The sequence below is a fragment of the Homo sapiens genome, chromosome 6 (genome assembly GCF_000001405.40).
Source record: "Homo sapiens chromosome 6, GRCh38.p14 Primary Assembly".
Taxonomy (NCBI): Eukaryota; Metazoa; Chordata; class Mammalia; order Primates; family Hominidae; genus Homo; species Homo sapiens.
The window spans coordinates 94,089,044-94,103,052 of record NC_000006.12 but is presented as its reverse complement, the minus strand read 5'-3'; the positions used below and the strand labels follow the sequence as shown (position 1 = coordinate 94,103,052).

General features: G+C 36.4%; 1 annotated feature.

The window, feature by feature from the left end:
* Positions 12,652 to 13,153: an enhancer, noted in NCBI's record as "NANOG hESC enhancer chr6:94799618-94800119 (GRCh37/hg19 assembly coordinates)". NCBI's record gives its function as "activates a minimal SCP1, AML or CMV promoter by ChIP-STARR-seq in naive H9 embryonic stem cells {active_cell/tissue: H9 hESC(naive)}" and the evidence as "EXISTENCE:reporter gene assay evidence [ECO:0000049][PMID:30033119]".

Below are 14,009 nucleotides of genomic sequence, written 5' to 3'. Positions count from 1 at the left end.
ATTTCATAAAAATATTTTAAATTAAAAAATTAAAAACCTTTTGGTTTTAAGACTCAGGATAAAATGGATTGGCAAGAATTAAAGAAAATGTTGAGAAAGGCTGCAAATTACTCACCTGATTGAAGGACTAATTAAACTTATCTCTAAGGCACTGGAAATTTTTATCTCTGAATTTTACTGTCTGTGCATGAAATGTTCTTTTATTGTTTTCCAAAGGAAAATATGCATAAAAACCAAATTCTCTCCCTCTCCCTCTGAGAAAAATTTCAGATAAAATGTGTAAAGGACAGTTTTGTGCCCCACTCATGTCTTTCTTATGCTATCCCTGAGTGATGAATCTAAGCCAAACTGCTATGAGAGCTGGAAGCTAACAGCTCATGACAGCACCATTCTGGGAATTGTCTTGGGTATACTAGAGCTATCTTATGCAGAAATACCTGAAGGGCACGCCTTCACTCTGGGAGCAGTATAGTAATTTAGGAATAACAAGAGTCCTATTCCTTTGCCTCAAATTTTGATTCATTGATGCAGCAGAAAATCAGATTGTGGCTAGACTTGAGCTGAATTCACATGTTTGCCATGCTGCTCTTCCTCACTTCTCCACAGGTTTCACTTCAGAACATTCTGTCAATAAACAATTCCCATAGCAATCAGTGTGTCTAGGGAACTTGTTCTCAAAGTTTTGTCTGCACCAGAATGAATCTCCAGGAGGGCTTCTTTTTTTCTTGAGATGGAGTCTCAGGCTGGAGTGCAGTGGGCCCTATCTCGGCTCATTGCAACCTCTGTCCCCAGATTTAAGCAACTTTCCTGCTTCGGCCTACTGGGTAGCTGGGATTACAGGCAGAGACCACCACTCCCCGCTAACTTTTATATTTTTAGTAGAGACCAGGTTTTGCCATGTTGGCCAAGCTGGTCTTGAACTCCTGACCTCAGGTGATCTGCCCACCTTGCCTTGGCTTCCCAAAGTGCTGGGATTACAGGTGTGAGCCACCATGCCAGGCCAGAAGGGCTTCTTAAAACACAGATTGCTGATTCAGTAGGTCTGCAAGGGACCCTAAGAATCTGTATTTCTAACAAGTTTGCAGGTACTGCTGTAGGTACCATTTTAAGAATTATTACTCTGTGATAATCAAGCTAGTACAGTGAGTAAACATTTATAAACTGTAGGCCTCTGTGATTTCTAGAATAAACTGAAACAATAATAAATTATTAATAGAATTTAACATTTAAAATGTATAAAAGAATGTTATAGACCAAAGTGGTAAAACTACTCATTGAAGTCAGAAAATAAAAGGAAATTTGAGCTAAATTAATTAAATGATTATATTCAATAAATATTTTATGAACTTATTGTCAATTTTAGTTATAGCCCAATAGTACAGAAGTTTGAGAAGAGAGACTCTCCACCCCCACCCCCACCCCCAACCTCAAGAGGGTATATAATCCTGTATCTGGCCATTTCTCCTTTGAAGCGAAGTGGACAACCAGATGCAGTGCTTGAAGTTCTGCCCACTGGGAGAATTTCCCTTTGCCACTCTCCTTCAGGGGTGTCACAGAGAAGGGCTGTAGTGTTGCAGCTGTCTGTTTTTGAGCGACGTCTGTATGCCTTGCAGAACCATCTGGCCTGACTTCTTTTCCTCTGTCAACTGATCATAGGGAACTCCTCTTGAGGCCATAGATGCACACTAGGAGAGAAAAGGCTGTGTATCAGAAGTGGGAATCATGAGTATCTGGGCCTTCTTCATCTAACCTACTTGTGCCTTTAGGACTTGCTCAGGACAGATCATGTATATACCACTTTCCCTTGATGATAGAGCAGTGCTATTATGCATGCTCAACTTTTTGGCTTGGTAAGTCAAAACTTGGTGGTAGGCAGCTAAGGTCATCTAGTAACTTAGTGGCCCTGGTTAAGTGTTCACCTTCTACTAAGGCTTAGTAGTAGACAAGAGCTGTTTCTCAAAAGGAGGGTAGTTATTCATAGAGGATGGTGGGGCTTTGCTCCAAAATTCAAAGGTCCCGTGATACAAATATATGAGTCTGCTAAAGGCTACAAACAGCATCCCTATTTCCCACTGACATTTCAAGCACCATTGAATCTATTAGATAATATGACCCAAGAAGCAGAGGAGTTCACACAGAAGCCTGGACCCATTGCAGAGCCTTCTCTTGTTCTGGGCCCCACTCAAAACAACCAGCTTTTCAAGTCAGTTGGTAAATGGGCCTGAGTAACACACCAAAATGAGAATATATTGTCTCCAAAATCTAGAAAGGACCATTAGATGCTGTGCCTCTTTGTTGGTTGTGTCTTGACATACCAAGTTATACCCCAAAAGAAAGACCCAAAGATGTTTTGGAACAAGGATGAAAAATCTAAAGACAACCTGATGAAAAGAAGATGCAAAAAAGGAGCTGTTTTAAATAAGCCTACAAGAAAACATATCTTGATTCTGATGTATCACCACTGGATCCCTAGAAATTTTACTGACATAGAAATCCCCTAAATTTTTGTTGAATTTATCAGGCAAAATATTTTCTCACTCTCTGACATGCAAATGTCTCACCAATAAGTCTAGAGATGTTATTTCTTCTTGCTCACTAGGTCCGAACCAGCAGAATATCATTATAAGGAATCAGTGTGATATCTTGTGGAAGGGAAAGGTAATCAAGATCTCTGTGAACTAAATTATGACATAAGACTTGAAAGTTGCTATATCTTTGAAGTAGGACTGGACAGGTGTATTGTTGGCCTTGCAGCTGAAAGGAAATTGCTTCTGGTGGTATTTACTAACAGGTATAAAGAAAAATCTTTGCCTGATCAATAGCACCATACCATGTACTTAGAGGTGTGTTAATTTGCTTAAACGATAAAATCATATCTGGTACAGTGGCTGCAATTGAAGTCACTGCCTAGTTAAGCTTATTATATTCTACTGTCATTCTCTAAGATCCACCTACTTTACAGGCCAAATACAAATAAGTGAGTTCAATGGATATGATGGGAATCATCACCCCTGCATTTTCAAGTTTTTGATGGTGGCACTAATCTCTGCAATTTCTCCAGGAATGCAGTATTTCTTTTGGTTTCCTGTTTGTTTGTTTGTTTGTTTTAAGTGCGGCACTTGTTCTTTCCCACCATAAAGCCCTCACTTCATAATTCAAGGGATTGTGCCAGTTACTGAGGATATCTATTTCAATTATCCATTATGGAACCAGGGGAAAAAACACAGGATGAGTCTGGGAACCCACTGAGTCAAATATAAGATGAACTTGAGCTAAAATTCCATTGATCACTTGACCTCTATAAGCCCTCATTCTGATTGGTGGATCACAGTGACATTTTGGGCCTCCTAGAATTAGTACCAGTTCAGAATATTAAGTAGGCTGAAAAGGGTCTGAATCATTTCCTTTTCCCAATGCACAGTTATTCTGGTTAAAGGCCATAGACTCTTTTAGGGGAATTTGGAGGGAAGATTGACATTATACATTTTTTAGAGCATACGAGCGTTCTTTTTTAAGGGGAGCCAGGCTCTAAAACTGTTCCAAGTCTGGAAATTGAATGTGGGGCTGAGACTCTCTGTTTTTATTATTTGGTGTAGACTTTGTTCACTAGACATAAAACTTCTTATACAGATCAAGTGAGAATTTACTAAGGTTCTTACCCTTTTCTTTTCTATTACATCTTAATCAACTAGGCAATGCCGTATGCTGCAGGAGTCAGGCTATTCTGACTGTGCTTTGACTCTGCTGTCCATTACACTAACCACGCCCACCTTGCCTTTGGTGGGTAAGTTCCGCTACTTGCTCCCTACACCACAGGATTCAATTACTCCCATTGCATTTAGATTTTCCAGTTCAGTGACTGCAATCACGGTAAGACCTGAACTAAAGAGAAGAACAATAATAGAGCTCTTCAAGGATGTCTAGTCTTCCCTCACAAATGTATTTCTTCCAGTCATGGTGAACAGTATGGACCTTAGGTATGGACCCACCCTAGTGTGGGTGAGTAAGTCTTAAATGAAACATCTGCTCTAACATTCTAATCTTCTTGAATTCTTTTCTCTACACTAAACCAATGCAGTCCAGCATTGCCAGTTCATTTGCTGCAGACCATCTTTTGGTCTATACTTCAGCCAATCAACCAAACAAATTGTTAGAAACCTTTTTAAATCCCTGAGCTTCCACATTAAATGCAGAATATCTGCTTAGTGAGACCATATCAATAAGTTCATTCCATTCAAATTTGATTTTCCTTCCACCAATAGCCCAAGCCCATAACATTCATTCACATACATGTTCCCCAGATTTCTGCTCTATAAATAAGAAAATTCAAGTAATTTGGTGTGTAGTGCACCTTTTCATGGTTCACACATTTTACCTCAGTTTCAGGACCCTGATGGGACTTGAGTCTACCTATAAGTCTAGAAGAAATAAAGGTTAGTGTGAGTGGATTCTGAAGAAAATCAGCGTTGTCTTGCATGGCAGCTTCCTCAGGGAAGGCTGTTATAGTTCCCTCAGGCAATGCAGTGGTTAATCCTCTTAGGTTGGGGTGGAGAGGAAGCTTCTATCACTGAGAGTGGGTAGGTAGAGAGGCATTTTCCACTGGAGGGAAAAAGAGTCATTAGAATTTAGGGGTTCAGTGTCCACTGCTTTATCAAGATCTTCCCACACATCCCCATTTCTACTTACAAGATCTTGTTTTTTTCCATTGAATGCCCTCACTTCAATAGTAGACACTCTGCAATGCTGGAACTTCAGCTTGAAATTCAGCCAGTTACAGAATGAGATTGTGTGCCTGCAGGAGAGAGGGGTCTCCTTCAGAGCACACATAGAAGGTTTTAGGTTATTCATGCAGCACTTGAGCTGGAAATTGAAATTCCTGAGCTCATCTTTTTATTTTACCACTTTGTCCAGCAACATTAAGAGAGGCCAGCCAAGCTCATTATATTTGTCAATTTCCTAAAAATGTTTGAAAGTGTCATATATCCAGTGACCCAGTTCCTTTCTTCTTCCAAGTGGTTGATTAGGAGTATACAATAGAGATACTTGGTATATCTTTATTGCCATATTATACTATAGACTATCAGTACTCTACTAGAAAATGAGGAATCAGTTTTTTTTTTTTTTCTTTGAGACAGAGTGTTGCTCTGTCACCCAGGCTGGAGTGCAGTGGTGCGATCTCAGCTCACTGCAAGCTCTGCCTCCTGGGTGCACACCCTTCTCCTGCCTCAGCCTCCCAAGTGGCTGGGACTACAGGCACCCGCCACCACGCCCAGCTAATTTTTTGTATTTTTAGTAGAGACGGGGTTTCACCGTGTTAGCCAGGATGGTCTCGATCTCCTGACCTCGTGATCCACCTGCTTCGGCCTCCCAAAGTGCTGGGATTACAGGCGTGAGCCACCATGAGTCAGTATTTTTAAATCTAGTTAAATAGCCAATTCACAAACCCCAGAATCAATTAAGCAAATACAGATTTAACATTCTGTTTCTCTAGAACCACTTTTTAGTACCAAAATCTTTAGTAAAATAGAATTAGAAGCAATAGAATCTATCTTTATCTATCTGTCTGTCTAATCTCTCTCTTAATAGTTTAACAGAAATTATTATTAAAAAAAAAACTGACTTACAATTATGTAGGCTGGTAAGTCCCCAGATTTCAGTTCACAAGCTAGAGACCCAGAACGGCCATTGTAAGTTCCAGCTCAAGTCTGAGTTTGAAGGTAGGAGAAGACCAATGTCCCAGCAAAAAAATTGTCAGATATAGAAGGATAATTCTTACTCAGCTTTTTGATGCTATTCAGCCCTTCAATGGATTGAAAGAGGCCCATCCACAATGGGGAAGACGATCTAATTTATTTTATCTACCTATTCCAATATTAATGCCATCTAGAATCACTCTCATAGATACACCCAGAAATAATGTTAATCAAATATCTGTGCATCCTGTAGCCAAGCTGAGATTACAGATAAAATTAACCATCTCAGATACTACATTTGAAAAAAAATAAAAATAACCATCTCAGATATTATAATTGGAAAAAAATAAAAAGAACTCATATGATACTGCATCTGTTTAAAGATAGAATGTAAAGATGCAGTAGAAAATAACACAAAAATATGGAAGAAAAAAGAGAGATGTGATAATTTTCTTCAGGAATTTGGTAGAGCAAGGATTCAGAGACAAGAGTGAGGCAAGTGGTATGCTCCTGCTTGCCACTGGAGATTGAAAGGCACAGTCAAACCCATCTTGTTTATCTATTAGTGAATTTTGTAGGAATTGGTAACCTTTTTTCCCTGCTAGTACTAGTAGCAATTTAGGTAGGTTTAGACCAAAAAGACCTTGTATGAGAACTACTTACTAAGGAAAGACAAATGGTACTTACAGCTTGACTATCCTTGCTTTTCATTTTCTCTATCATAAATGAAACTTCTGCAATACATTCTAAGAGATGTTTTGCCCCAAAGAACTAATCATCCTTCCATATCCCAATCTTCCACTTTTTTTTCCTGAATTTGTTTATTTATAATAAGACTAATGGAAAGATATTTTCCATACTTTTTTAACAATGAAAGTGTATATATATATATATATTTTTTTTTTCCTTATCCAACGTCAGCTGGTGAATTTGTGGGTAAGCCACATTTACTTCCAAGATTACCTTAGGATAAAAAATGCTAACATAACTTTGTTCTTTTTATCTCCTTCCTAGGAAAGATGTTATATTTTGTGAGATTTTACAGATCTTTGTGTGATGTTTTCCTGGCCTGGTAATTTGCATTAATGGATATTCAAGAAACCAATTTATACAGCTCACTGATGTAAGTTATAACAAAGTCTGCAGACATATGAGGACACATTTTCAGTAGGCTTTTGAAAATGTGCTGACACATTTTAGGAATGCATCTGTTTTTGCTTGCAAAAACTCACATTTATGTGTGCAACATGAGAAACTGAATGCACAAACAGGTGGTTTTAAATGGTTTTAAATACTCAAGCAGAATATAAATGGAGGCACTCACAACCTTACTGGAGCCTTTGAAAATTATCCTGAATCTCACAGTTAGATCGGTGGCAAATGTTTTGGTATTTCTAATATTTGCGACCTTATTATTTAATTTGAAATAGCACTAGATATAAAGCCTTATAGACATCTTTCTAACTTTAATAATGATTTACTATGTTACACTGAATAAGTTGTAAGTTTGCTTTACACTTTGATGTTCATATATTAACTGAAAATAACACCTCAACCTCAGAGAGTAAATATATATAAAAATATTCCTATTCAACACCAAATCTCTTTTAAAGATATGTATAAAGCTATAAATAATGTATAAAATGATGCATTGTAAAGACATTAGATCTTTAGTCACATCCATGTGAATATTAAACACACACGTACAAATGTATGCACAACTAGACATAACAAACACTTGTTTACGGCTCTATAGGCATCAGAAATTCTGTTAATTAATGGAAATCCCAAAAGCTAATAATGACTTGCATCAAGGCACATCGAGTTTATTAAAAAGAGATATTCAATACATATTTGAAGAATTTCAGATAAAATGGTAGAAACATAAAGAATATACTGAGATTCAAAGATAATAATATGACTTTAGGGAAAAGAGGGCAGTGTATGATGTATATGGGACAGTCAAGAGGGAAGTCTTGGGAGATTGAGTTTGACTTGAATACTGAAAGTGGTGTGTCTGTAAAAGTAAAGTGAGAATAAATGACATTCACAAAAAATGAAAATTGTAAAAAAAAAAAGTAGCAGTAGGAATGTAAAGGAATACATATGAAATTTGTTAAGATGATAGAATTCACAAGATCTGATGAGAAGTAGGAAGGAGCCAATTACACCTCCAAGTTTCTGATTTGAGTTATTGTATGGATAATGACAGAGTTAGGAAATATAGAAGATTCAATAGCTTTGTATTTGAGGTGATGATGATTTCTGCTTTACATAAATATAACTTCGAACTATCTATGGGTCCTTAGAGTGAATATACCCAGCAGGCAATGAAACCTTTTGGTTTAGAGCTTAAAGAATTAATCATATATATCAGGGCTTCTCCCAAAGGAAAATATATTAAAATCACTTAGGCTTTTTTTTCCCCAGAAAAAAATAGCCCCAGTCAAAATTATTGACCTAGCAGAGAGATGCAAGATTGTATTTGGAAAAAAATTCCCTGTATTTTGATATGCATTTTAGATTTAGATCTGCTGGTGATGGTTGAAGTCACTTGAATGAAGGCTACTGCCAAGGGGAAGGGCAAGGATTACATCTGGGAGATACCAGATTAAGACATTGGCAAATAATGGATTAGTAAAGATAATAATATAGAAAGAATAAGAGGAAAGAAGATAATTAGAATGGAATAAATTTCTCACATACATTGATTTCAAGAAATGACCAACATATTCAGATGACACAGGGTCAAATTAAAGAATTAAAAGGAGCATACTGAATTAGGTAATTAGAATACCATTCGAGATTTTGCCACATTTGATTCCATGAAGTATTCATTCAGTGAACAAGTGAGCTATTTCTTAGAGACCCTGATTTTGGGCAGAGAGAAAAACATAAAAGGAGCATGTATGTGCATGTGTGTGTATGCATGTGCACAAGAGCTGGAGAGACCAAAATCAAGGTCTCCCTGGAAACAAAATTCTTTAATATGGAATAATTTTTAGCATTTTTACAGTTTTAGAAAAGCCATCAGTGGAAATGGATGAGTTGAAAGTGAAGAAAGAAGGGAGAAGCAACTGACTAAGTAATATTCAACAGAAGAAATCGTTAAAAACACTTCTACCATGAAATTAAGCCGGTGCAAATATTTACTAAGACTACAGTTGACCTTTGAATAATGGTTAAGGGTTAGGGGCACAAACCCCACTCCCATACAGAAAAAAATAAAACGCATATAACTTTTGACTCCCCCAAAACTTAAGTATTAATATCCTTCTGTTGATTAAAGTCTTATCAACACATAGTCAATTAACAGATATTTTATGTTATATGTACTATATGCTGCATTCTTACAATAAAGCAATACAGAGAAAAGATGTGCTATGAAGAAAACCATAAGAAAAATATATGTACTATTTATTAAGTGGAAGTAGATCATTATAAAGTTCTTCATTCTCATAATCTTCACTTTGAGTAAGCTGAGGAGGAGGAAGAGTAGGTCTTGCTATCTCACGGGTGGCAGAGGCAGAAGAGGTTTAGGAGATGGAGGATGTGGAAGGTGAGGCAGGGGAGGCCGACACACTAGATGTAACTTTATGAAAGGCATTGTAATTCCTGTCGGCTTTTTTCCTTTTTCATTTATCTAAAAATGTTTACAGTACCGATCTCCATCATTTGCTTTAATTTCAGGGCCCATATCATAGGACTTTTTTCTTTTTCCATTTATCTAAAAATGTTTACAGAACCAATTTGCTTTAGTTTTAGTGCCCATATCATAGAAGGATCCATGTTGTGAAAGAAGTCACAAACAGTTCTGAATAATCAGAACCCTTCTGCCAGATTGTCTAATGTCATTTGTTTTCTGGCACTGCGTCTACATCTTCTTCCTCATTGTCTGGAATTGGTTCAAAATCACTCATCTCCACAAGGTGTCTTCTGTTCATTTCTCTGGTGTCTATTAGCTTTTAAATTTCTCTAAGATTCATATCTTGAAATCCTTCCCCCACCCCATATTTTGTTTGTTTGTTTGCTATATCCACAACCTTTTTCATGATTTCTTCGATTGGCTTTGTTATAAATCTTGTGAAATCTGCACAACAGCTGGACAGAGCTTTCTCCAGCAGGAATTTATTGTTTAGGGCTTGCTGGCTTTCATGACTTTTTCTATAACAATAATGGCATCTTCATAATATGCTCTTTCTATCAGGGTTCTTTTCCATAGCACTGATGATCTTTTCCATAGAGTATGGTGTGTAGTGAGCCTTAATGACCCTTATAACCCCTGATGGAAAGGCTGAATAATTATTAGAGGAATTGTGTTTGAGGGCAAGCAGATTACTTTGATGTCTTTGTTGTTAAAGTCATAAGATTCCGGGCCCGGGGTATTGTTCAATATAAAAAAATATTAAAAAGTAGTTTCTTATTGACAAGGTACTTTCTGACCACAGGGACAAATCATTTGATGGAAACAATCTAGATAAAAGGTTCTCATTGTCTAGGCTTTCTTTTACAACCAAAAGACTGGATGGTGGTGTTTATTTTTTCCTGCAAGGCTTGGGGGTTAGCAGCATCAGAGATAAGAGCAGCCCTGGTCATAAACCCAATTGCATTTGTACAAAACAGTAGAGTTTGCCTCTTCTTTCCTGCCTTAAATCCATTTCTCTTCCTTTCTAATAAATGTCATTTAAGGCTTTTTTGTTGTTGTTGTTCCAGAATAGGACACTTTTATCTGCATTAAAAACCTGTTCAGGTGGCTGTTTTTTTCTCTTCAATGATTTTCTTAATGGTGACTGGGAATTTGCCTGATGTCTCTTGGTCAGCAGAATCTCCTTCTATTATCTTGTTATTTTTTAAGCCAAATCTCTTTCTAAAATTATCAAAGATTCCTTTGCTGGCATTAAATTATCCAGCTTTAGACCCTTCACCTTCCTTTTGCTTTAAATTGTCATAAAATAACTTCACTTTTTCTCAAAATATATTAACGTCTATAGGTGTGCCTTTCTTATAGCAATCCTTCACCCACATAAAAGCTGCATTTTCACTATGAGATAAAAAGGAGTTTTACAAAAAGTGCAAGGTTTTCATGCCTGATGGCATAGCTGCAGTGATGGCTTTACAAAATTCTTTTCTTTTTTTATGATAGTCCTTACACTGCACTTATTTATCTTGAAATTGTGGGTAACCACAGATGCAGATCTTAATCCATGATACAGGTCAAGCAATTCAACTATTTCTTGTAAGTCATGAATTTTCTCTATATCTTGGGAGCACTTCCAGCATCACTAGTGGCACTTCATGTGGGTCCCATGATGTTATTCAAGGTCTATGGTGTTGCACTGAAAATGATTAAAAATACACAAGAATCACAAAATATCAATTTTTACAGCAATACGCATTTACTGGGGAGAAGAATTGGTCATGCAGATGTGATTAACATCGCAAGGCCTTTTAAGCAGGCACTTGCAACACTTGAACTCACCACAATAGCAGCAGGAGGTGGCCATGAAATTATTACTGTAGCACAGCATGGCCTACAGTGAATTTTATACAGTTATGATTTAATAGTGCATCTTTACATTTGTTTACACTGCTTTCAACTGTGAATTGTGCCATGTTTGATCTCTAAGTGTGTGTGTGTAAGTTTTCATATATCTTAACTTTTTATAATAAATGTGTGCATATTTTTGGTAGCAAATAATAAAATAAACTAGTATCTACATAGATGTCATGCATTCATGCCATACCTAATTTTTTCTTGGTTTTTTTTTTTTTTATATTTCTAGGCTCACAGTTTATCTGTGAGTTTTTTTAAAATTGTTGTAAATCTTCAAAAAAAATTTAATGCATACCTTGAAAAAGATCCACATGTAAGTGGGAACACACAATTCACACCATTTGTATTTGACTCTGCAGAAGGTAGTATATCCATAACCATCCCTGCCTTCAATGCAAAGACAGTATGGAATAGGTAACACTTATTCTTAAAAACTAATAAAAGATACAACTAAAACGATGCCTAAGTTACGTGGCAAAGTTATACCATGACTAACCTGTAATTGTGGTTTGTTGATAAATATTTCAGGTCTCTAGACCTGGAACAAACTGCAATGACTATAAACTTATAGATTTATACCTCTTTTTGAAATATCTTCTTTTTTTTTCCAAATCCAATAGTAGTGGATGTATGTAAATCTCGAGAAAGAGTTCTGTTTCTCATGGCACCGGCTATTTGGTAGGCTTGATTAACATCATTTGGACGCATTCATATATTCATGGCACAGCAGACTGAACAGACAATGAGAAATATTTGAACTGCCTTTCACTGCACTCCTCCTATCAGTGTGAATGTCAGAGTGAATGAATCTTTACAAACCATATTAACAGTGAGACCAAGTTGAAGTGAATCAAGGGGAACATATCCTAGCCTGATATAAAAGCAGTAATATTTGTTTCTGAATCACTTGTTTATGCTAATTCATACTAAAAAGAGGGCAGGTGGCAATCACAAATCCTTAGTCTTATTCCCAAGAGGACTTAGTCACAGAAGAAAATACAAGAATGTATCTAATTTCAAAATTTTTGTGGTTATTTTACATTTCGCCTGCATATGTATTGTCTCCCCAACTAACATATAAAATCTGTGATGGCAGGGAATATATTTTTGAAAATAGGTGTCTGAGAGCTCTTTGAGGGCCCTTAATCATCTTTGTATCTGTTTACTAATTACAGTGGCCTTACATAGTAAGAATTCCTTGCTGCATGGAGGGAGTGAATGAATACATGGCCTACTGAATTTAAAAGTACATGGACAACATTATTGTTATTTTAAACACTATTCTTTTTTTCCTGATGTACCTTCATTTTCGCTTTTGATGTTTCAGTACAACAAACCATTACAGCAAATGAAACGGTGCTGTGTATATGGAGACTTCTTTTCTAAAGTAAAAGAATGTAAAATAGATCAATACAAAGATTGTTGCAACATTTGGGCTTCCTCAACCAAGCAGAGTGACAACTTGGAACCACAAAGGTGTATGAACTTATTGTGGAAACTACTGACATTTTTGCTTTCAACTCTTAGTTTGAGTTTTCATAAAAGTTTTAGATTATACGGAAACCTGGGAATTGTCTTCGCTTTAGTAATGTGTCTGGGAAACATCACAGCTGTTCATTAACATATGAATCTAGTAGAGTTTTCAAAATTCCCCAATCATTGTTATCTCTGAGTATATTCTTTGTTGTGAAGGGAAGTGAGTTGTTATTTTATTTATCTGAAGATCGTACTGTGATAAGCAAAGTGTCAAGAATAATCACACCAAATGCTGTCTACCACAATAGCACCCAATTATGCTCTGCATGCCTTTCATCGAGGAAAGAAGTGAAGGAGTTTTTAAATTACTTATCATGACTTGATGAGCTGAACATTTTAATGAAAGAGTTGCTTAAATTCTGAGTAAGACTATTAAAGTTATTAAGAAGATAGATTTCAGACCTGTCATATGTCAGAGCATATAGATTCCAAGAAAATTCCTGAAAGGTACCAAAATTTACTTTAGCTCTCAAAGTCTAAAGAGTTCACATTAATCTGGGACAAATAAGAAGCAGAATGTAAATAATTATGAATATCAAACAGCCAGCATTTGTCAACAGGGATTTTCACATCTTGGAGGTTAAGAAATGGGCTTCCTTATGGAAAACACAAACAACTCCCTGGAGAAGGATGTCTCTGTTGCTTATCTTTTCTTCTTTTCTATAGTTGCCTCTGATGTGTGTGTGTGTGTGTGTGTGTGTGTGTGTGTGTGTGTGTGTGTGTGTGGTGTGTGTGTGTGTGTGTGTTTTTCCCTTCCTACTCCTACCACCCAGAGATTCTATACAAGTTCAGGGATGGTTAGGTTCTAAAAAACATAACAAAACTAACCAGAACTGTTATCTAAAAATGAGTTTATTGATAGATATAGAGTCAAACAAAATAACACTTTAATGTTTCTCTTTTTTTCTAAAATAGGAGAATTACATTATGCTAAGGCAAGTATAGTCTCTTTAAAAAGCAAGTTTAATGTACAGTTAGAGGAAAGTAAGGGAATGGAGTAAAATATCTATTTTAATACAAGATCTTATTTCAAAGAGATATCACTAGAGGGAAAAGGAAAATGATGAAAGGAATTTATTTCCCATTAAATACATTTATACATTCAGTGTGTACTTCCTCTGGCAATCTGAAATATATGGCTCTATTTTAGCTTTTTAGTTTATAATTCATTAACCTCATGCTAACATTATAAAGTCTGTAAACAGTCTGTTCTGAACACATGACAC